This window comes from Homo sapiens, chromosome 20 (assembly GCF_000001405.40).
Source record: "Homo sapiens chromosome 20, GRCh38.p14 Primary Assembly".
Classification (NCBI taxonomy): Eukaryota; Metazoa; Chordata; class Mammalia; order Primates; family Hominidae; genus Homo; species Homo sapiens.
In genome coordinates, this window is record NC_000020.11 from 42,943,687 (window position 1) to 42,967,063 (window position 23,377).

Sequence of the window (23,377 nt, forward strand, 5' to 3'; positions counted from 1 at the left end):
AGTTAATCTCGTTCAACATATAGTTCACCTCAACAAACCTTCCTGGGGCAGGGCACAGTGGCTCGCACCTGTAATCTCAGCACTTTGGGAGGCCAAGACAGGAAGATCATTCCAGCCTGGGAGTTCAAGACCAGCCTGGGCAACATAGCAACACCCTGTCTCTACAAAAAAACTGAAAAACAATTAGCCTGGAATGGTGACGCATGCCTGCAGTCCCAGCTACTTAGGAGGCTGAGGCAGGAGGATCACTTAAGCTCAGGAGCTCAAGGTTACAGGGAGCTATGATGGCACCACTGCACTCCAACCTGGGTGACAGAGCGAGACACTGTATCAAAAAATAAAAATAAATAAATAAATAAACAAACAAACAAACAAACCTCCTTGAAATTAAGCCCCCACTGCCCAGAAAAGCTCTGTGTCTTTCCACCTCCAGTAACACCTTCCACATTCCTGGGTCCACTATCTTGCCACTGAGTCATGAAGACTTCTGAGAAACACACAAGGGAGAGCAGAGAAAACATCACAGTTTAGGATTTTAGAGCCGGGGGGCGGAAAGTGCTTCTGCTGGAATTTCTGTCTTCCTAGGCAGACAAGCAAAGGAAATGCCGGCTTCCACATGGAGAGGAATACAAGAACCTGCAAACTGCTCTTCCTATCCCACTCACGAAGCTCTCCAAACCGTTCTTCCTCCCAATAGCAGTGACACTCCTGGAACAAAAATCCAGTCACACCAGTGCCTGCACTGGCCTCCCTTTAATCCTGGAATAAAATCCAAATTCGTTGAGATGGCCCACCAGGCCTACCTGAAGAGCATCTCAATTCTATTCCTCCAACCTTACCTGCAGCTACTTTCCACTTGCTGTTCCCTGGCCTCACTGGTCTTCCTACAGCTCTTTGAACAAGCCACACGTTCTCCCAGCCCAGAGCCTTTGCACGTGCTATGCCCTCCACCTGGAGACCTCCCCACTTTTCACATGACCAAGAGAAGGAGGTACCTTCTCTTCCACCAGGTCTCAGTTTACATATCGTCTCCCCAGAGAATCTGTCCCAACTACCGTATATCAAGTCCACAGTTGAAGACTATCTGCATTAAGCACTTGGTTGGTTTTAGTCCCAGTATTTATTGTAATTTGCAAATATGTGTCTGTGATATCTTACCTCCCAGTGGTATATATGCTTCATGAAGGCAAAGAATATTGTTCATCTGAGTCGGTGTTTGTTCCCTGTGCCTGGTACATAGCAAGAGCTCAATAAACTCACTGTATGAATGAATAAACCCACTCCACATTTTTATGGATAAAATGAATATTCACCAGTGTCATTTGTGGCCAGACATTATAAAATGTTGTGTGTGTGTGTGTTATATAGTATTTATATATACTATATATTATAAAATATGTAATATTTATATAAAATATGTGATATTTATATATATACTTTATATATTATGTAAAGATAATATGTATCTTTACATTTATTATAATGTAACTCTAAAGATACATATATATGTATGTATGTATGTATGTATTTATCTACAATGATCTAGGCCTCACCGGTTCCATTTTGCAGGTGAGGAAACTGGAGTGTGAGAGGTTAAATAAATTGCCCAAAGGCACACAGCTAATAAATGACAGCTGTTTGACTTGTGCCACCACCAATCACAGCTCTGGATAGTTTATCTCTGTTCTGGAACTAAAGGCATTTAAATCCGGCCACTGAGGAGGATTTAACCATGTCTGCCAGGGCGTCTGCTGTTTCTCCCGGGACTAATCTGCCATGAAGCAGATGCAAAGCTTCATTTATCACTTCCAACAAAACATGGAAGAGACAAAACCCCAGCGGATGCTCCCTGCTTCCAGTGTCCAACAGGGCAGGGCTTGTCCCATCAGGGCCTCCAAGGTGCCTGTTTCCCTGAGGAAGGGCCCCTCCTCCCATGTCACCGGGGTCACTGCCCCTTGTGCTGGACCCAGGGCTCTGTGCTCTGCATCAGACCAGCTGAGCTGCTCTGTCCACTGGGGTGCTTCGCTCTTAATGAGGTAAAATTCCCATAACATAGAACAACTATTTTAAAGTGTACAATTCAGTGGCATTTGGTACATTCACAATGTTGTGCAATCACACTTCTATCTAGTTGCAAGACCCTTTCATCACCGCCAGAGAAGACCCCCGACCCATTAAGCAGTCACTCCAGTTCCCCTTCCCCAGCCCTTAGTAACCAATAATCTGCCTTCTGTCTCTATGGATCTGCCTTGTCTGCACATTTCCAGAATCATATCATATACATGGAATCATACAATACGCAACCTTCTGTGTTGGGCTTCTTTCACTTAGAATAATGTTCTAGAGGTTCATCCACAATATAGCTGGGATCACTATGTCCTTGCAAGTTTGGGCCCCTGGCCAGTTAGAGATGTCGAGTCAGAGAGCAGCACAGAGTACAGAGCTGATAGCCAGACTTTTCTCAACCTCCTCAGACCCACTAAGAAATGGGGACATCGGAATCATTGCACCTGGAAATTTTCTCCTTCTGCAACAGGTGGGCAATCCCTGGGGGGAACTTGCCCCCAAACAATGAATCACCCTGAGGAGTGCCACAGCAGATGGCAGGGCCTGAATGTGGACCAGACCCATTGAGGACACCAGAGTCCAGCCCTGGCCAGTCCTGGGAGGTCCAATACTCACAAAGAGAAAGGAAAAACCTTAATATTTACATACCTGGGCACTTTTGCTAAAGAAAACCAAACCCAGAAATCCCAAGAACTAACCAACCCCAAAAGTTTAAATTGTGCTGTATTTTAAGTACAACAGATTGTGATCTGACCTCACTGTGGCATCAGCAAAAGATGTTACATACATGACAGAGGGTCAGAATGTTATCAGTTCCTTAGACAGGGGCCCTGAGTTGTCACTATAAATACAACCATTAGATTATCTGGCAAAAAATTCAGTCTCAGCACAAAACACCCATTACTTCCTAGTGGGAGTATCAGCAACATGTACCATATATACTGGTATAATTCTTGCCCTAAATCTTCCCTTCTTTCTTCACTCAATGTCATGGCAACTTCCATCCAACACAAAAACAGCAGGATTTACAACGGGGTTTCTCAACTTCAATCACCGCACTGTTGACATTTTGAGCAAGGTATTTGCCCTGGGGTTGTCCTGTGAATTTTAGAATTTTTAGCAACATCCCTGGTCTCTACCCACTAGATGCCAGGATCACCCCTCCCACAGTTCTGACAGCCAAAAATGTCTCCAGACAGTGCCAAATGTCATCTGAGGGTACAACATCAAGAACCAGCCACTTCGATTCAGGTCAAAGAGAGCGGCTACAGGGAGATTTCTGACTGAGGTTGCATGAGAAGTGCAGGTATGGGATTTTGAGCCGTGCTTCCAAAATTAGGTGAATTAGAATCAACTCTGAATTTTCCAGGGGCCAATTATTCACATTTCCCCAACCCCTGTGCCCGTACTACCTGCATTCCACCCAATTCCCAGCCACTCACAGGCAGCTGGCATGATGGGAGAGATAAAGAAATTTGGAATCAAGAATGCAGGCTTACAGGAAAGTTGGATTATTTTGTTTTGTTTAGACTAGAGAGACTTGTGCTTGTTAAAATGCACCCTCCTTGCATCTTGCAAAGTTTCAATGCTGCCCAACCTTCCCCCAGCCCCTGGCAGCAGAGTCACTGAAGAAAAGGGAAGGGGTCCCCTTCCTCTCATCTCTGGATGGCAGGAATTCTCTCCTGTTCTCCATAGAGCAGGGAAATTCTAATGCTTCCCCTCTCCCTCCAGAGGCCAATCTCCTTCAGGCAAATAGACAAGGAGAGAGGTCTTCTCTGGGGGACCAGACCAAACAATATCGCAATGTTTGAGGGCACAGAAGAACAAAATATACACAATAAGAGAAAGCCTCACTTTCATATTACAGTAAATAAACTTTAAAAATCTCCTCAATGTCTCTTTCACTCAAGCCCTTGCTCCTTTTCTTTCCTCCCCTGCACACCAAACTTCTTGCAAGAATTGTGCTCATTCACTTTGTCCACCCTCATACCTTTCACTCACTCTCCAATCCAGTGCATGAGGCCACCCCACCCCAGGACTCCCGGAAATTGTCTTGCCAAGGTCACTGACGAGTGTCTCTACCTTGTCACTGAATCTAATGACCACTCCTTCATCCTTATCTAGGATGTAAAATCCATGAGAACAGGGAATTATGTCTGTCTTGTCCACTTTTGTATCCCTAGTACTAGAACAGTGCCTGGCACACAGTAGGTGCTCAATACATGCATTTGTTGAATGAATGAATGAATGAATGAATGAGTGAACCCCACTTGACTTCTGCAAGGTATTTCCAATGCTGACCACTCTCTCCCTCTTCGTATCCTTCCCTTGGTTTCTAGAAAGTGACATGCCAATGGTTTTCCTCCTACCTCCCTGAGGACTCCGTCCATCTCAGCCTCTTTATGGTGTCTGCTTCCATGGCTGATCCATGAGATGCTCTTCAAGGCCCTGCACCAGGACCCCTTCTCTTCTCACTCAACAACAGCCTTTTCCCAGACTATCTCATGGCCTCATTACCACCCAGGGAGGGCAGTACTGTTTGAGCTGCCCTACACCTTATCATCATTTGTATCTAGGAACACCCGGTTCATCCTCTGGAGAACTACCCCTTCCCACTCCAGCCTGCCCCAGGTATGGGCACATATCTCAGAGTTGGCTTCTCAGAGCCTCACCTGCCCCTGGCCTGAGTGAACAGCTCAGGGATGGTCATGTGGCCCAATACAAGCCAATGTAAGTGTGGCCCAGGATTTGAATGGTTGGTGATGAAACTTCTCTCTTTTCCAGTGAGCTTAGAGAAATAGGGATTTGGCCATCTTGCTTCCCTAAGGAAAGAGTGCATCCAGGAGTTCAGCCAGCTCACACAAAAAAAAATGCAAAGTGAAGAGATAAGACAGAGAGAGAGTGAAAGATCTGAAACTGATGACCTCATGTGAGTCCTTAAATTCAGTGATGCTTGAAGGACCCCACCCTAGAAGTTTCCAAGTAAATGACCCAATACATTTACTTTTTGCTTATGCCATTTTGGGTTGGAGTCTATCATGGATAACCAACAACCCCAGCTAGAGCGATGACTGCCACATCTGTATCACCAGGCCTGATTCAACTCTGAGCATCAGACCCACGTATCCAATTGTCCATGGACATTTTTATGACCTCTGCCAAATGGACAGGCTGCTGGGAACACGTTCCATGAACCCAAATCTGGCTTGATTAAAAGAGCTGCTCACCATGTACACAACCAACCCCCCATGTTGTCCTCATCCCACTGTTGGATATCCTGCCAACTACAACCCTATTACAAATGTTGACTTCCTCTCTACTATGATATCATCCCATTGCTAAAAACAGAAACTTGGGATGCTTCAACGGGGAAACTTATCTCCAAGATGTCTGCCATCAATTCTTTGCCTCCCTGGACATGCAAGTCATTCTCAGCTAAGGGCTGAGCTAGGGCCTATTCCTACTCTCCCTTTGCATCTGCTCTGGCCTTAGTTATTTTCTTCCCCAATAGAACGCAGTAGTAGTGATGTTCTGGAACTTCTGAGCCTAGGTCATAATAAACTTCACAACATCTGCTGCCACTGAAGAAGTTGGTCTATTCTGAGGTGGCCATGATGGAAGGAAGCCCAAGCTAGCCACAGGAAAAAGCCATGTAGAGACAGAGTGCAATGTCAACTACCCTCCAGCTATTCCAGTTTTCTCAGCCCTGGTGCTAGTCATGTGAGTAGAGCAACCATTCTTGGATATTCCAGTTCTAGCAAATGCCACTTGAAGAAGAAGCAAGGTTCCAGTTATATGGATTCATTTGAGCTGGCCAGCCATTTTTGCCTTTGATCCACCCCAGCGGGAGCATCAAACATTATGGAGTGGAGACAAACTTTTCCAATGTGCCTGCTCCAATTCATGACCCACAGAATCATGAACACATTAAACAGTTGTTGGTTTACATTATTAGGTTTTGAAGTACCTTGTTATGCAGCAAAGATAACTGAACCACTCAGCTATTTTTTATGTTTGCCAAACCATTCCTGAAATCTACCCAAAACAAAACACTACTTTCTAAGCTCACCCTGGCCAGAAAAAATCTCTATTGTAGAACTGAGACAAAGTTATTGATTTGCCTGTCTTTCTCCCTTACCATACCTTGTACTACTCCAGGGCTTGGCACAGTGGCTGGTGCTAAGACATCCAGTATGTATCCAACGAACAAATGAAAGGAAGGAAGAAGGCCTGAGTGCCACTGCCCTCCATGAAAATGTTCTGTGAGTCCTAGAACTAACCGTGTCTTTGGGACTCTGTGGCAGCAAAGCGGTACTGCAAGTGTTATTATAATAACAGTGACAGAATCCAAGCCTAGTAATCATTAACCATCCCCAAGAGAGCTAGTTAGCTAGCAAAGAAGAAAGCCCCCTCCTCAGGGTTGGGAGCACTGGTGCCCTGACGGCACTTGGCTTCAAACTGAACTCCCCACGCCTTCTCACAGAGCTGATCTGTCTATAAAATTGGTGGTTTCTATAGAAACAGAAGCACTGTAGTAAAGTGAAGGGAAATCGTACATTCTGTCAGCGTACAGAGATCAATCCTGTTCTTATATGGGGCCAGGACTCTTTCACGCTTTATTTTTGAGCATCTCAACTTTCATTTCCATCCCAGCCATCTCATCTCATATTTATGAGGCTCCTGCACTGGTAATCCTGTCCCTTCTCACCTAGCTGCCTTTGTTAACTACGACCATGGGCAGAAGTCTGTGGAAACAGCATGGAATCCCTGGCATCCCCTCGTAGTGCCAATAGCTCCAAACCCCAACCTGAGAGGCAGAACTGGGATCCCTGGTGTTCTGGGGTGGTAACCAAGATGGTGGACGGAGTCACTACAGAGGAGGCACCACAGCCTTCCACCTAGACATTATAAAAATCTACTCTGTAATTGGGTACGTGTTTTACATGCCTATACCTTAGCTTTAGACAGTCTCCATGCCCTTAAATATTAATATGTCTGCAATCTCTGTTTTGCACCCCAAAGTGCAAGTGGCTTTCTAGCAGGCAAGGAAACAGAGTTTGGCTTGTATTTGAATTGCTCATGCTGTCTCTGATCATCTACAGAGAAAATTAGAAAAGGCACAGGTTATATTTTAGTATTTTAGATGAAGGTCCAAATTTTGAGGCACGTGTTAACTCATGAAAATTGTCTGCTTCAATCAAGATTCACTCTTAAAATAAGAAATAATGTGATGTTTTCTTCATCAAAGAGCACTTTTATTTCTGACCTAACAGCACTAAATGTATTTTGCCTTTTTCCTGTTCTAACAAATGACTGGTTGGATGAATAGAAATAAAATGATAGATGGATGAGAGAATGAAGGATGGATGGAGGGATGCATGGATGGGTATTAATCGTGGATGTGTGGATATATGATAGATGGATGGGTAAACAGGAGATGGATGAATACATGGGTAGATGGATGGGTGGGTATATGGATGGATGCTTGGATTCATGGAGGGGTGGATGGATGGATGGAGATGAATTATAAATGTGTGAATGGATGATGGATGAGTAGATGGGGGATGAGTGGATGGATGGGCAGATGAATGGGCAGATGGATAGATGGACAGACAGGAGAGGGATAGATGAATAAATAGATGGGGGGGTGGGTAAGCGAGTGGATGGATGGATGATAGAGAAATCACCCATCAGCATAATTTTTCTAAGATGTAAATCTAATCATCCATCCATTTATTCATTTACATTTTTGAGCACCTACCATGTACCAGGCAAGATGTGAAAAGCACTGAGGATTCAGCACTGGATATCTGAGATAAGGTCCCAATCCTTGAGGACCTAAGATTTCAATATCTTTAAAGTAGTAAATAGATTAAAGGCAATAAGAGTGGGTGCAGGGAGAGGAGTGCAACATCTATTACCATGATCCAGGTGAGAGCTGATGGTAGCTTGGTCTAGGATAACAGCAGTGGATACACGGAGGCAGAAATAGATTCAAGAGTTATCAGCAGGCCTTGATAGCTGACTGAGTTGCACAGCCCTGAGTCTAAATCTCAGTTCAGCCACTTACACGCTGTGTAAGCCTCAATTTCCTCAGCTGTAGATTGTGGATAATTGTACCTATCTCCCAGAGTTGCTATGAGGAATAAATGAGATGAAGTATGTGAAAGAGTCAGACATAGGGCCTGGCCAAGAAAATGTTTTTAACACCAAAAGCCTCCATTTTAGGAAAAGGCACCCAAATCCCTGCTTCTTGAACCCGGGCTATGAGCTGTGAGGAATACTAAATGCTATTAGGGTTAAACAGTAGTCAGAAGGTCGAGAGAGACTCAAAGGCATAGCAGGGCAGGATCATGTGGCCACGCAGTGTCCAGCCTACTTCCTCCCCTCTCCCAAGGACGCAACTAGCTGTGTGCCACAAGCCTGCTCCACACCACATGAGTCCACACGTCATGCCACCATGGCTAGCCATTAAAACCACTTCAGAAGCCTGGGCCCATCCATCGCAGTTGGCGCAATCACCAAAATTGAACTTTCATGGAGCCAGAATCAAAGGGCTGCATAAACTAGGATTGTGTCCTCCTCCATCAGAATCATCTTGCCTCTGCGTAGCTATGAAGGACAGTGAGAACAAAAATAAGAATAACTAGGCAGAACTCTAAGCAAAACAGTGCAGGAACAAAAAGCAGGGACACTGGAACAGCTAGGCTGCCTGCTTTAAACCTCAATTCTGCCACTTACTAGCTCCATTACCCTAGGCAATCTGCACAACTTCTGCGTGCCTCAGTTTCCTTATCTGTCAAATGGGAATAAGTACCTTCTTCTAGGCTTATGATAACTAAGGTGTGCAAATATGTAATGCAGCTGGAACACCACCTGGAATACAGTAAGCAGTATATAAGTGTTTGCTCTAGGTCGACTTCATCACTGCCAAGCACTAATATGCTCCAGTTACCTCACTGAGTACATAAATGCACTATTCCATTTGGTCCACATGACAATCCTGAGAATGGGTTACAAAGCAGGGGGTCTGGAAATAGATCTACCAGCATCTTGCTTTATGGGCAGACACAGAACCTCTCTGAGGCTCTCTTTTTCCCACCATTAAAATGGGTACAATAGCACTAACAGCAGGTACCTAATAAATGAGACGGTGGATTCTTTTGTATATACTCTTAAAAAAAATCTTAGGTTGGATAAATAGTCCCTTTGTAGACACAGATCTGAACGCAGCAAAGCCATTACCTCCACTTTCATGCCCTTCAGCTCATGCCTTAAATGGGTTTCTTCCCCACCAGCCTTTCTCTTTTTAACAACACTCTGTGCCACTGCAGAATCTGCAAAGAAAACTGGACCAGGCCAACCCAAAGGAAGTTCTGAGGGTGGAGGAAAGGAAACCAAATCTAAACTAAATGACAGCTCCCTTGAGTAGGTATCCTGAGAGTCAGCAGAGGGGCAAGGCTGCATAAAGGCGGGGAGGGTAGACAGAGCTGTGCCTTCCACCACTGCCAAGGTCTCAGCTAGCAGGTGCATAGTGAGGCAGGCCTGGCCATCCACAGTGTGCAGAAGACTGAGGCTCAGAGATGTTAAGAAATGTACCAGAGGTCACACAGCTCAGTAAGAGGTAGAGCTGGGATTCGAAAGCAGATCTAACTATCTCCAAGTGCCCCTGCCATGGTACCCACTGCCATCCCTCGGTGAATCACACAAGATAAAAGTATAGGTGAGTCTGTAGTTAAGCCATAACTTGTTGTTCACTTGAAGAAGAGCTCAGATGACCTCTGTTCCTGGCGGGGGAAGTATCTTCTCACTTCCACCTGCAGTTAACCCTGTAGAATAGAGTCTATCACACTCCTAGAAGAGCCTCTGGCCCCAGCACTCAGAAGAGTCAGCCATCTAAAGCTGCCCAGCCCGTGGAGAAGCTGAGCCCTCCCGTTTATGTAAAGGCAGCAGAATTCCACCTTGCCAATTTCTTAGTCTCTCCAGAGAGGACCTCAGATGACTGAGCCTGGCTAAACCGGGGTTTCTCAATCTTGGTATTATTGGCATTTTGCACCAGATTCTTCTCTGTTTAGGGGGCTGTCCAGTGCTTTGTAGGGTGCTTAGCAGCATCTCTTTCCTCTGGATATCATTAGTACCCCTTTCAGTCGTGACAAGCAAAAATATCCCCAGAATGGCCATATATCCCATGAAGGGAAAAATCACTTGAGATTGAGAATCACTGCCCTGGATGGCTATATCACAGCCTGGGAGATAATGGACGAGTCTGGGAGATGTCACAGGGGGAGGAGGGACTCTAAGACCTCCCGTGGGATGGCTGACCCTGGTATAGTCACCTGAGCTGAGGGTGGGCCCTCGACTCTGCACACCGTTAGTTCAATCCTGCCAGAGTTGACTGGTCTCAGCGAGACTAACTCAGTAGATCCAACTCATAAGAGGTTGATGTGTAACTTGTATTCCAGGCTGTTGATGTCCCAGGAGAAACAGACCTTGCAAGCAGATCAGATTTTCCTGTTATCTAACCTGTGCCTTCTTCTCTAGAGGGAACTTTGGGGAAGCAAAATCATGATAAGGCTCTTGTTTGGTGAGCAGGACTGGAGGGAGGAATTGATGGAAGACTTGGGTGAGTGCTCTGGGGCCAAATCTCCCTCCCCTGGTCCAGGAGGACAGCATCCCAGCACCTCTTATCACTTTCTGTCTCCTACAGTTAAGCCATGACCTGACGATACATGCAACAGTTTGCCTATCAGACAGCTCTGCCAGCCTACAAGTTCCAGAAAGGCAAGCACAGCATGTTATCCACATCTTCAGCAGTAAGTGCTACATAGAAGATGCTCAGTCAACGTGCGTGTTTGCTTTTTTTTTACCATTTGCAGTCACCTTCCTAAAAAGGAAGGGTGTGTGGGGAGGGGAGGAAGAAAGGGAAGCAAAAGAGATTTCCTGTTGCAGAAGAAAAATGGCATAAACTCTAGAGAGGCTACCATATCTCTAATTTGACCTGAGCTGAGCAATATATCCAGGATTTAAATGATGCTGGTCACTCACTTCTTTCTAGGTCACCTTTGTCCAAGGAGACATCCTTAGAATCACAATAGTAGGAGAAGACGATGGAAGAGGAGAGGAGAGAAGGGAAAGGAGGAGGGAAGGGAGGGAAAGAAGAAAAGGGTAGGGAGGAGAGGAAGAGGGAGAAGGGAGAGGAGAAGGTTAAGGAAGGGTAGAAAGGGAAAAGAAAGGACAAAGAGGGAAGGGCCAGGGAGGAGAGGGAGGAGGAGTTACACAGAAGCTCATTCCCTATGGACAACATGAGTTTAAGAAACGCCGCACACTCTATCCCCCTCTTAGTGATGCACAACACACGTTGCCATAGCAATATAAATCATATTAATGATCATCATCAACATTTATTGAGCTTTTACTGTGTACCAGACACTATTCTACAAGCTTATCTGTATTAACACCATTAATCCTTCCCACAGCCCTGCGAGGCACAGATACATTAAATAACTTGGTTACTCTAGGTTACTGGCCAGTTAGTAAAGTTGCACGGCTGAAAAACATGGCAATTCACAGACCCCACAAGGTCCTGCATTAAAAGCCTACAATCCCAGAATTTCCCACACTTGCTTTTTATGTTTGTTGTCACAAGCAGCATCTTTTAACAGGCTGTGGAACACATTCTGGAAAGCACAGTTCAAGGACAATGTCGGTTTGGTTCACCCTACTAAGTGCATGCCTGAGGCCTCCCAAGAATAAGCCTCAATTGCCATGACTGAGGGGCATAACCGTAATTAGTATGATTATTAACACTTATTTATTATAACATCCTTTCACTTGTACTTACATTATTGTTCCTTAAGCTTTACAATTTCTTCATGAGTAAAGTACTGAGATTACTGTCCTCATTTTCCAGACGCAAAGGCTGAGGCTCACGAAGACTACCTGACTTTGATCCCCAGCCCACAAACCACAGTGCAGCCCAGGAACAGAGGCTGAGGCAGTACATTCTCACAAAGACTTCACTGCAGGGGCAAAGCCAAGGCAGAAAAAGTGAGGGAGAAGGAGGGAGGGAGGGAGTGAGGGAGAAGGAGGGAGGGAGGGAGAAGGAGGGAGGGAGGGAGGGAGGGAGGATGAACCTATACAAGGCAGTGCATCCCCGGGCCAGCCACAGCTTTGCCAGTAAACATCACCGCTTGCTTGGGCACACGGCAGTGTGGAAGCCCTTGGCCTTAGCGCATTCCCTTCCAGGAGAGGAAGGGAGAGGATTTATCTGCTGCCTTGGTTCCTGGCCCTCTGGTTAAAGCTTTCCCCCACACACAGGTGGTTAACTCTATTGCATGTACAGGTTGTGACACTCAAGCTCCTCCATGCAGTCGTTGGAAAAGCCAGATCCTACCCCGTAGTATGGGGTTTTTCCAAGCATTGTCTGCCCAAACTTGGTGAGACAGTTTGGATGTTATCCCCTCTAAATCTCATATTGAACTGTAATCCCCACTGCCGGAGGTGGGACCTAGTGGGAAGCAATTGGATCATGGGGGTGGGATCCTCATGAATGGTTCAGCACCTCCTTTTGGTGCTCTCCTCGCAATAGTGATTGAGCTCTCACAAGATCCAGTTGTTTGAAAGTTTGTGGCACCTCCCCCAGTAACTCTCTCTCTTGCTCCTACTCTAGCCGTGTGAGACACCTGCTCCTACTCTAGCCGTGTGAGACACCTGCTCCCCCTTTGCCTTCTGCCTTGATTGTAAGCTTCCTGAGGCCTCCCCAGAAGCTAAGCAGATGCCAGCACCATGCTTTCTGGAAGCCTGCAGAACCAGGAGCCAATTAAATCTCTCTCTTTTTTTTTTTAAATAAATTACCCAGCCTCAGGTATTTCTTTCAGCAATGCAAGAATGGCCTAACACACTAGAGCACCAAAGACTCTGCAGCTCCCACCTGGGCAGAAAGGGCAGAGGAGACTGTGACAAAGTCTCACCTTCTCCCCTAGGGGAAATGAGACAGTCAGTGTTGTTAAGAGTACAGGTGACAGCAACAACGGTCAGGACTATGCACTGGCCAAGAAGTCAAGGCTTGGGGAACAGGTGGGCCAAGTGAATCTAGGAGGCACATAAACTGAGTCCAAGATACCGTTTCTTTGAATCCAAAAATGAGTGTTCCTTCATTCAGTGGCAAAAAGCATTCAACTCACCAACCACCCCAGCGCCCAAGTCACCTGGATCTAAACCACCCATTGGAAATGCAGATTTCTGGGCCACACCCAGAACTAAAGGAGTGGTTTCATTGGGAGATTCAACCACGGAGTCTGCATATTTTTAACAAGCTCTCCAAGTGACTTTTGTGGTCACTAAATTTTAGAAACACCTAGGACAGCATCAAAAGCTGCCCTGAGCATGCCGGAACTCCCCAGCTCATTTGATAGGGAAAAATCGAAACCTAGAAGTGATTAACTACAGATCAATAAAACAGAACAATGAATCATGCCAAAGGTCGAGTGGCAGTACGCAGCAGTACACGGCAAGCCAATCTAATTAGGGGCCCTCGTAAACGTCACCTGCTCATAAACATTTATAAAAACAGATTTCCTGCATATGGAAGGGTGTTAATTTTTCATATAGCTGTAGGTAAAGTAAATGTATTTTTAATCTCATACATTGATTTAACACTGTATTTCTTTTTGAAAGACTGGGAGACTCAGTCTTTGTTTACTGATTTCTATATCAGAGAAACTGCTGGAGAGAGACGCCAGAGCATACTTTCTCTCCTCAGGAATAAGGGAAATCTTCTGATTCTTCCACATTCAGACTCTCCCTTGGTTCTCAGAGCCCAGGCTGACATCAGATGCTACCTAACAGAGACAAATGACACAGGGTGAGGCAAGGCATGGAAGAGGGGTGTCAGTTCTGCAAGGGAGATGCTGTCACTTGTAAAGATTTTCATTAATAAACCTTCTAGTACCTACTGTTGCACTGCACTGTACCCATCTCTGGAAATTTTTTAACAAACTCAGATTTAATTTTCTTTCTCATTAATTAATTTTTTATTCATCTCTTCCATTAGAGCCTAAAACCTCCCAATTACACATTATTAGCTCAGAGGAAAGTTGGTAATTGAGATGGTCCCAGGATTCCAGGAGTGCCCTGTGCAGAATGTCTGCTTTAATTAGATTTCCATTAATTACTTTTTTATCAATTAATATTGGGTACTTTGGGCCCAATACTTGTGATCTCCACATCATGCACTCTTAAATGACACCTCATTTATTGCAGTCAGTCAAGCAAGGGACCCAAAAAGAGTTCAGCAGAGAGAGCGGCAGACAGGCTCTGTGCCTCACATGCAAATGACATAGCATGCTTGCTTGCAGGGGTGAGTTTCATCCCCTAATGTGTACCTCGAGAGGCTAGGCAGGTTAGGAAGGAGAGATAGAGAGAGGGAGAGGTGGGGTGGGGGACAGAAGGTGGGGGACAGGGAGAGAGGGAGACAGGGAGAGGGAGAAAGGGAGGAAGGGAGAGAGTGAGGAAGGGTGAGAGGAGAGGAGGGAAGGGGAGAGGAGGGGAGGGAAGGGGAGGGGAGGGAGCAAGGGAGGAGGGAGGGGAGAGGAGGGGCTGGGAAGGGAGGGGAGGGGAAGAAGAAAGCAAGGGAGGAAAGGGAATGGTGGGAAAGGGAAGAAGGGAGGAAAGGAGGAAGGGAGGAAGGGTGAGGAGGAAAGGAGGGGGGAGGGGGAGGGGAGAAGGGAAGAAAAGGAAGGAAGAAAGGAAACCTACAGAAAAACATCAAAAGTGTCTAGTCCAATCAAATCATTTGCAGATAGATAAATGATGGCCAGGAAGCCAAGTGACCTCACCAACCCTACACAACATTAGGCTAGAACATTTTTCTCCCCTCCACATTGTCCCCTGCACCTCCCTCTACCCCTTTACTAGGGGAACACATAATTTATCATCTACACTAGGACACTTTTAAGAGAGAAAAGGACTGCTGTTAATAATTATACTGGGGAACAATAGACACAAACCCCAGCACACCAAGATGTATTGTCACCCAACCCTTCACCCCTCGGCTGTTAACTTATGAACCTCCTCCTGAGAGAGACCCACTTTTTCAAGGTGGCAACTCTGCCTCTGCAGCCTTAATATAGCTCAGTATTTGCCTGGAAAATCAATATGCATTGATTAATGACAATAATATGATGCAACCTCCACCCTCTGAATTCGCTTAGTATTCCCACTGTCTGTCTTAAATTAAATGTTTCAGTTCACCCAGTATCTTTTCCCAACTCATTTCTCAACTATTCTTTTATAGAATGTAACTTAATTGTACTCAATACCCTAACCTAATTAGATTGGCCTAATGGTTAAAAGTAACCCAAAACTGGACTACTTGGGTTTGAACTTAGTGGGGTGTCTTTGGACAGGTTAAGTTTTCTATGTGAGCTTTCTTATCTGTAAAATAGTACCTACCTCATAGGGTTCTTATGACGATTACATGAGCTCATGTACGTCAAGTGCTTAGAATACTACCTGGTTCATAGAAAGTGCCATGTAAGTACTTGCTAAATTAAATAAAAATAAAAAGTTAGAGAAACGGTGATCACCAAAAGACATAACTAATTTCTCGCCCTAAACTAAGCGGAATATCTCAAAGTCAAGGAGAAGAAAAGAAAACCAGATGTGACTGAACATAGCTTCCTGTGCCAGGGACTGAGACCCGTACTTCGGATGCATCATCTCATTTAATTCACAGAAAAGCCCTTGAAAGTAGGTATTGCTATTATCCCCATTTTATAGATGAGAAAACAGAGATTCAGAGAGATGCTGTGACTGGCCTCCACCATACAATAAAGCCAAATCCCCTCAAAATCCAGCACAGGTGGGACAACTGGAAAAAAAATAAAACAAAAGCCCAGGGTTTCAGGCTGACTTTCACCTTCTGCTTGAATCCTCCTTGTTTCTAGCTTCCACTAGCGCCTACCCCAAGGGAGCTCTGCTCCCTTCTTTAAGGTCAGAACCCATGCACAAGCCATTCCTTGGTTCTGTGAACAGCTGACACTGGCTGCAACTTGCAGAAAGATTTCCTAAGTCCTTAGGGGGGAGTCCAAGAGAGAACAAGGACAGGAGACACAGAAATAGCCCAGCCGACAATGGACAGTGCCTTATCTTCTGGAGGGGACTCACTCCTTACCAGGGACCTCGCAAGCTCATCTCATCCCATGCTCAGGTTCCTAGAACAACATCACTCTCACCTCCAAGGGCTGGCCCCCTTTTCAGACACCTTGTCCCTCCCATCATCTACTCACGGAGTGTCTGGGTCCTTAGGTGACAATGAGCAAGTCTGGACTCTGACCACCCAACCTATTTACTAGCTACTAGGAACTCCCTCATATACAGTCACCAACTAGATCATATGTCAATTTTAATAAATATTTTCACTGATTTATTAGTCCATTTCTGCTGATACAACAAAATACCTTAGACTGGGTAATTTATCAATTGTAGACGTTTATTTTTCACAGTTCTGAAGGCTGAGAAGTCCAAGATCAAGGTGCTGGCAGGTTTGGTGTCTGGTGAGAGCCTGTTCTCTGCTTCCAAGATGGCACCTTCTTGCTGTGTCCTCACAGGGTGGAAGGGGAGCTGGAGGACCTAACAAGCTCCCTCTAGCCCTTTTATAAAAGCATTAATCCCATTCATGAAGACGGAGCCCTCATGACCTAAGAACCTCCTAAAGGCCCCATCTCTTAATATTGTTGCATTGGGGATTAAGTTTCAACATGAATTTTCAAGGGATACAAACATTAGACCTTAGTAATAGCAAAATATCTCATGTAGTCGCATTAATAGAAGTACCTTCTCTCTGGGTATGTGTAGTCGCCAGCCTGCATCTGTCACTGTTTCCTCTCCCCCCAGTATTGGGATCACACTAGGTACATGCACACAGGTACACACACATATACACACACAGCCCTTAAGCAACTGGGTTGCTAAACAACCAGCAGGTAATACAAGCAGCAGCTGCCAGAGTGATACAACGATGTCATAAACAGCACCAGAGCAGAGAGTAAGAAGCACCCTAAATGATTCATTTCCCTATGTTGGGAGAATATACCCAGACAGGTATAGCTGTTCCCATTTGTAAATCACTAAGAATGAAAAACTATAACCAATATGGGGCCTAGGAAGATATTTTGTAAATTAAATAAGAATGAAGTATGCAGAAAATGTATATTTTTCTAAGATGATTTATTGTATGAAACGCCATTAAATTTCAGACTATCTGTTTTGTGTTCATAAATTCAAGAAAACCTGGTTTCCATGAAAAACAATTCTTTTTTTAAAAAAATGAGATAAACAGATAAAAAGAGATCTGGTTTTAAAAGCTAGAAAAAAAATGAAGGTAGGTAATTAAAATAAAGAAAAGCCTGTTTGAAATCCAATTGTTGATAAGAAGATTTTAATGCTGTAAGGAGCACAGAACTGTGGAATACAGAAGCAGCACTGTGTACAACTTTCCATAAATGAAGAAGAAAAGAAGGTGGTGATAAAGATTGCTATGGTGCCTGTTGGTGCTCCAAAAACATAAAACCTTCTTTTATCCCTCATTCCAAGCAGACCTCCATATTGTGATACCCTTACTCAGAGATGTTGGATATTTTAGTTATTATGCACAATTGCGTGCTGGTTCAATAAGGAAAATAGGAAGTAAGTCCTTAAAAAGAAAGATTATAGCTACATTTCACTGGAAGGAAGTAGAATGAGTGTCCTCGAACAGAGGAAAAGGTTAACACAATGTTATTCCACATCACAGACGCTTCACAGAAATGAGCAAAGATGTGGGGTGTGCACTCCTTTAGGGCAGGGGAGAGGAAAAGAAACCAACTCAACTGCCTTCTAAAGGAAGAGCATGTGGGAGGGGGCCCCCACACTCTCCAGGGAGGGGTACTGTGGTCAGTTGAATGATGGGCCCCTAAAAATAAGTGTCCACATTCTAATCCCCAGAACCTGTGTATATGCTACCTCACACAGCAAAAGGGACTCTGCAGATGTAATGAAGCTAAGGATCTTGAGTGATGAGAGGAGGCTGGATTATCCAGTGAGGCCCAATGTAATCACAAACGTCCTTATAAGTGAAGGAGCGGGGCGGGAGGGTCAGAGAAGGAGGCGTACTGATGGAAGCAGAGACTGGAATGACGCAAGGCCATGAGCCCAGGAATGCAGGTGGCCTCTAGAAGCTGAAAAAGGCAAGGAAACAGATTCTCCCCTACAGCCTCCAGAAGGAATGCAGTCCTGCTGTCACCCTGCTGAGTTTAGACTTCTGACCTCCAGAGCTGTAAGAGAACAGATCTGTGTCGGTTTAAGCCACTAAATTTGTGTTAACTTGTTACAGCAGCAGTAGGAAACTAATACAGGTAATGTATCCAAAAGAAGAGTAGAGAATGCAAAATTAACTCTCAGCTCCTACACCTTCTGCCTAGTTTATAGGGTTGATATCTTCCTATCATTAGTTGAGGCATTAATGTTGAACAACATAATAAATGCAGAATTTCCATAGAGAGTTCAAAGAGCACTGAAACTTTAGCATACTGGGTAAGCCTGTTGTTACAGGTACCAGTGCAGACAGAAAGCTCCCAATAATAAAATGACCAGGAGTAAATTAGAAATATGAAAGACAAAAGAGATATGTTATAGGGATGAAAAGAATACCTAAATTACAAAAAAAAAACCTTTAGAACAGATTTAAAAATAAGCTACACTGAATGTCCTAAACATCCTGAATAACATTTTTCCAAGCATACAAAAAGAAAAAACAAGACATTTACATGGATAAACATTTATATAAGTAAATGACTGATCTCAGATTTCTTTACAATACTGGGCTGAAAACGCTAATGATTAAATATCTGCAGGATTTAAAGCACTCTGTTCATTTATGGAAGAAGCAGAAAAGTATTTACAAATGTAAAAGGACTCAGAAAGGATGTACAGAAACACTACCACCACCATTTACCTCCTCCCTCTGCCAAATACTAAAAGAAATGCCTAACCAGGCCAGGCGCGGTGGCTCACGCCTGTACTCCCAACACTTTGGGAGGCTAGGTGGGCGGATCACTTGAAGTCAGGAGTTCAAGACCAGCCTGGCCAACATGGTGAAACCCAGTCTCTACTAAAAACAGTACAAGCTGGGCACGGTGGCTCACACCTGTAATCCCAGCACTTTGGGAGGCTGAGGCGGGTGGATCACGAGGTCAGAAGATCGAGACCATCCTGGCTAACATGGTGAAACCCCGTCTCTATTAAAAAATACAAAAAAATTAGCCGGGCATGGTGGCAGGCACCTGTAGTTCCAGCTACTCGGGAGGCTGAGCAGGAGAATGGCGTGAACCCGGGAGGTGAAGCTTGCAGTGAGCTTAGATCGCACCACTGCGCTCCAGCCTGGGTGACAGAGCAAGACTCCGTCTCAAAAAAAAATAAAAATAAAAATAAAAACAGTACAAAAATTAACCAGATGTGGTAGCAAGCACCTGTAATTCCAGATACTCGGGAGACTGAGGCAGGATAATCGCTTGAACCCAGGAGGCAGTAAGCCGAGATCGCACCACTGCACTCCAGCCTGGGCGACAGACCCAGATTCTAGATTTGGTCTCAAAAAAGAAATAAATAAATATATAAAAATAAAAATAAAAAATAAAAAAATAAAAACAACCTAACCAAATGGGGTCATTTTTAAAAAATAAAAAATGAGTAGTTACATTTTTAAAAGTTGGTCGTGAGTGCCCAAGCAAATTAAATATGAAATTTTCTTAAAAATTGATGTATATACAGTTATAGAAAGAATATAAATGCTATAAATAGTTCTTTGTAAAAGATAGAGACATAACTTTAAATAATAATTATTAAATTAGAAACACGAATAAAAATCCCATACTTACCATTAACAACTGAGAAAATGAGTAAGGCTTATATAAGGGTAGGTCAAACTATGCTACCCACCCTACCCTGCACAGGGGAAAGCCAATAAAATACTTTGTATTCTGAAGACAATTAAAAATAAGTTTTAGGAAAAATTAAATTTAGATACATACTTAAGGCAGCTAAACGTATCCAAGAGTAAAACCAAAAGCAGAATATAATAGAAAACCTAATCACCCACCACAGAATCAGCAAGCTCTCTAAGGGCCAAACAGCAAATAGTTCAGGCTTTCGGGCTACATCCAGTTATTGCTGCTGCCTGTTCTTTGTTTTGTTTTGTAACCCTTTAGAAATGTAAATCCACCATTCCTAACCTGTGTGCTGTCAAAAACAGGCAGTAGGTTGCCAGCCCCTGCAACCTACTGCCTGTAGGGAGTTAGGGAGGAAGTCAAATTTAAAAACAAGCATAAGAAATAGAAAGCATTAAGTGAGATAAAATTCAGACACAATATAGTTATCATATTAGTATAAATTGCCTCAACTTCTCTAGCAAAAGAAATTGTCTCACAGACTGAGTCAAAAATCAAGTGTATCGAAATATTTTCCATAAGATGTGATCTTAAGCAATTAGATTGCCAAGAGGTTAAATTGAAAGCATGGGTGGATTTAATAGGAAAATGTCAATAGAAAAAAAATGCAGATGTACCAATATCCATATCAAAGTAAAATTCAAAGACAAGTCATTGAACAATACCAAAAAAGCTATTCTACATTGATAAAAGGTATAATTCACAAAGAAATATATCAACTATCATGACCTTTTCTGTAGCAGGTAGCAATGCATTGAGATATAGAAAGGAAACTGTTAGAAACCCAGAAATCAACAAAATACAGTAATAGTTTGAGAATTTAATACAACTCTCTTTAAGTCCTGACAGATCAAAAAGGAAAAATTTAAATAAGGAAGTCATGACTAATATAATTAGTAATATTGATTTAAAGACATATATCAAACCTCTCTCCCTACATGGAATTAATTATTTTTCCTGTGCTTTGAGTATTTTTTCGGTGATGATTAAAATAACAATAAGGCCACAAAGAACCATCACCAGATAATTTTTAAATGTTTTTATGTTGTATTATCTGACCATGAGGCTAAAGTTTGAACAAAACAAGGATATTTCAGCATTCATAAATCAATTAATAGGTTTAATCCAAAGAGGAACATATTTTAAGTTAAAAATCATATATCAATAGATGCCAAACTGTATTTGATTAGAATATCCATTCTTGATTTACATTCTTAGTAAAATAGTTCAATTATTATTTTAAAGTGATTCTCTACCTACTAAATCCAAGGTTATCAACAGAAAAATTATTGTAATTTATAAACAAGTTCAGTAAGATACCCAGCATAAAAGTAAATAAGTAAACTCACTGCTTTTTCATATAACCCCACCAACAAATTTGGAAAGATAACGCCAGGGAAGAAGACATCCTATTCCATAAACACACACAAACCCAAAATGCTATAAATACTCATATATAAACAGAGGTGTGATTGCAAATGTTCACAACAGGTCCTCTGGGAAAGAAAGCCCGGATTTATAGTATTTGCTGCTCTCTGTGGCTTAAATAATGCCACGATGACCTACTTCAAAAGACCAACATGTTACCACTGAAGGCAGATATACAATAAGATACTATTATACAGTGTTTCCAACTTACAGATATACAATAGACATGAATAACCTCAAGAGTGTAGATAATAAACCGTAGTAAAATAATTAGGGAGTCATGAGTTTTGAAGATAACCTTTGTTTTTACATATAGTGTATATAGTTGTAGGTTTCTATAACTTAAGTTTAAGAATGCCTGTGTTTAACAAACACCTCATGGAAATTCTGAAAATTTAATAGCTCTTATGAGCAGGTACCAGGCTGATTCCAGCATATCACCGTTTAAAAAAGTCCCCAATAATCTTAACCAGAAAGATTCAGTACTTGCAAAAATATTACTGAACTTAACTGAGAGCCATAAAACTTCAACAAATAGAGGCACACAAAGCTCACAGATGGAAAAACTTAACATGGCACTGATGTTGATTTTCTTTCAATTCATCTATACATTTAAGAAATCCCAAACGATACCCCCATTTAATTTTCTTTGGGGACAGTGGAGAAGGGATCCTGAAAAAGCAATCCTAAATTTGATGCATAAAAACAAACATTCAAGGAATAGCTAGGAAAATTCTACAACAACAGTAATATTCAATGAGCATTTAATCTTAAAGACATTACAAAGCTAGAAGGTGCAGAAAAGTGTGTCACTAAACACCGGAGAAGACAGAAGCTATGGTCTCAGTCCAGTGGGGTAGAAAACTACCCAGATAGGTCATTCTAGTTCCACACGGTAAGAACCATGATGGAATAGCCAAGAGGAGTTGGGGGAAATGAGAAGCTTGGGAATACCAGAGAAAGGAAGTGACATCTGAATTGATTTGCCTTTTCGGGTCGTTTGAACCTTTCGTCAAATTGGCGTCCAGAAAGCTTGCACAATTTAAAATCCCACACCAGTATATGAAACTATTTTCTAACATGCTTGCCAACACTGGGTATTATACCATTTTTATTTTATCTTGCCTAGTAGCTTACCTTAATTAGCATGCCTGATGTTTAACGAGGCTGGTAATATTTCATAAACTTATCGGTTATTTCTATGTCTATTTTTGTAGAAATCCCTCTTTCCTCTGTGTTCCCTCAGTCCCTCCTGCTCTCTTATTATAGATCTCAATACACTATGTCACACGAGCTGTCACAGCCGCTTGCCCATCCATTTCCCCCAGAGACCAAAAGTCAGAAGCAGGCCTGTGTCTGTTTGGTCGCTGCATCTGCAACAGAAGGTACCGCCCAACTTATAGTAGAAACTCTGAGAACATACACCCAGTGAACAAGACGGTGGGTTTTAGAACATCTTCACCTGGGTGTCAAGAGCAATCACATGTGAACCACATCAAAATGGTGCTGCTTCCCCCGCAACAGAGTTCTGCCAACATTATTAACGGCAGCTGGGCACAAACAAGGAGGAAAAACAAAAATAGAGCAAGGCTGTAGTTCATTCCATTGTACGTGATCATCAGGCAGAGAAAAGTTCGTAAAAATCAAGGAGAAATTTCTTCAGAAAATACATTTTCCTTAAGAGATTGTTTCAGTGTACCTGCGGAACTGTCAGAGAAAATTAGATTCTCCGCAAATAACAGTCACTTGCATTTCTACTTTATTTCTAAAGAATTCCTCCACTTTAACTTCCATTTGTTGTGCTTTTACAACAACTTCTTTAAGAGAGGCATTTGGTCTGGTATTATCTACTCATCAGACTTTGGAAAGGCACCTCGGGAGGTGATATGACTCTTTAG

At 43.2% G+C, this 23,377-nt stretch overlaps 1 protein-coding gene and 1 long non-coding RNA gene across 7 annotated transcripts in view; one reads left to right on the forward strand and one right to left on the reverse strand.

Annotated features, from left to right (window-relative positions):
* The window catches only part of PTPRT (protein tyrosine phosphatase receptor type T), a 1,158,017-nt gene that overhangs the window by 911,797 nt on the left and 222,843 nt on the right, over positions 1-23,377 (reverse strand). The window lies entirely within an intron of this gene.
* On the forward strand, positions 5,704-12,108 carry LOC105372623 (uncharacterized). The gene is made up of 3 exons (XR_936733.3): positions 5,704-5,787; positions 10,775-10,880; positions 11,978-12,108. It is a non-coding gene; the product is annotated as an uncharacterized LOC105372623 (long non-coding RNA).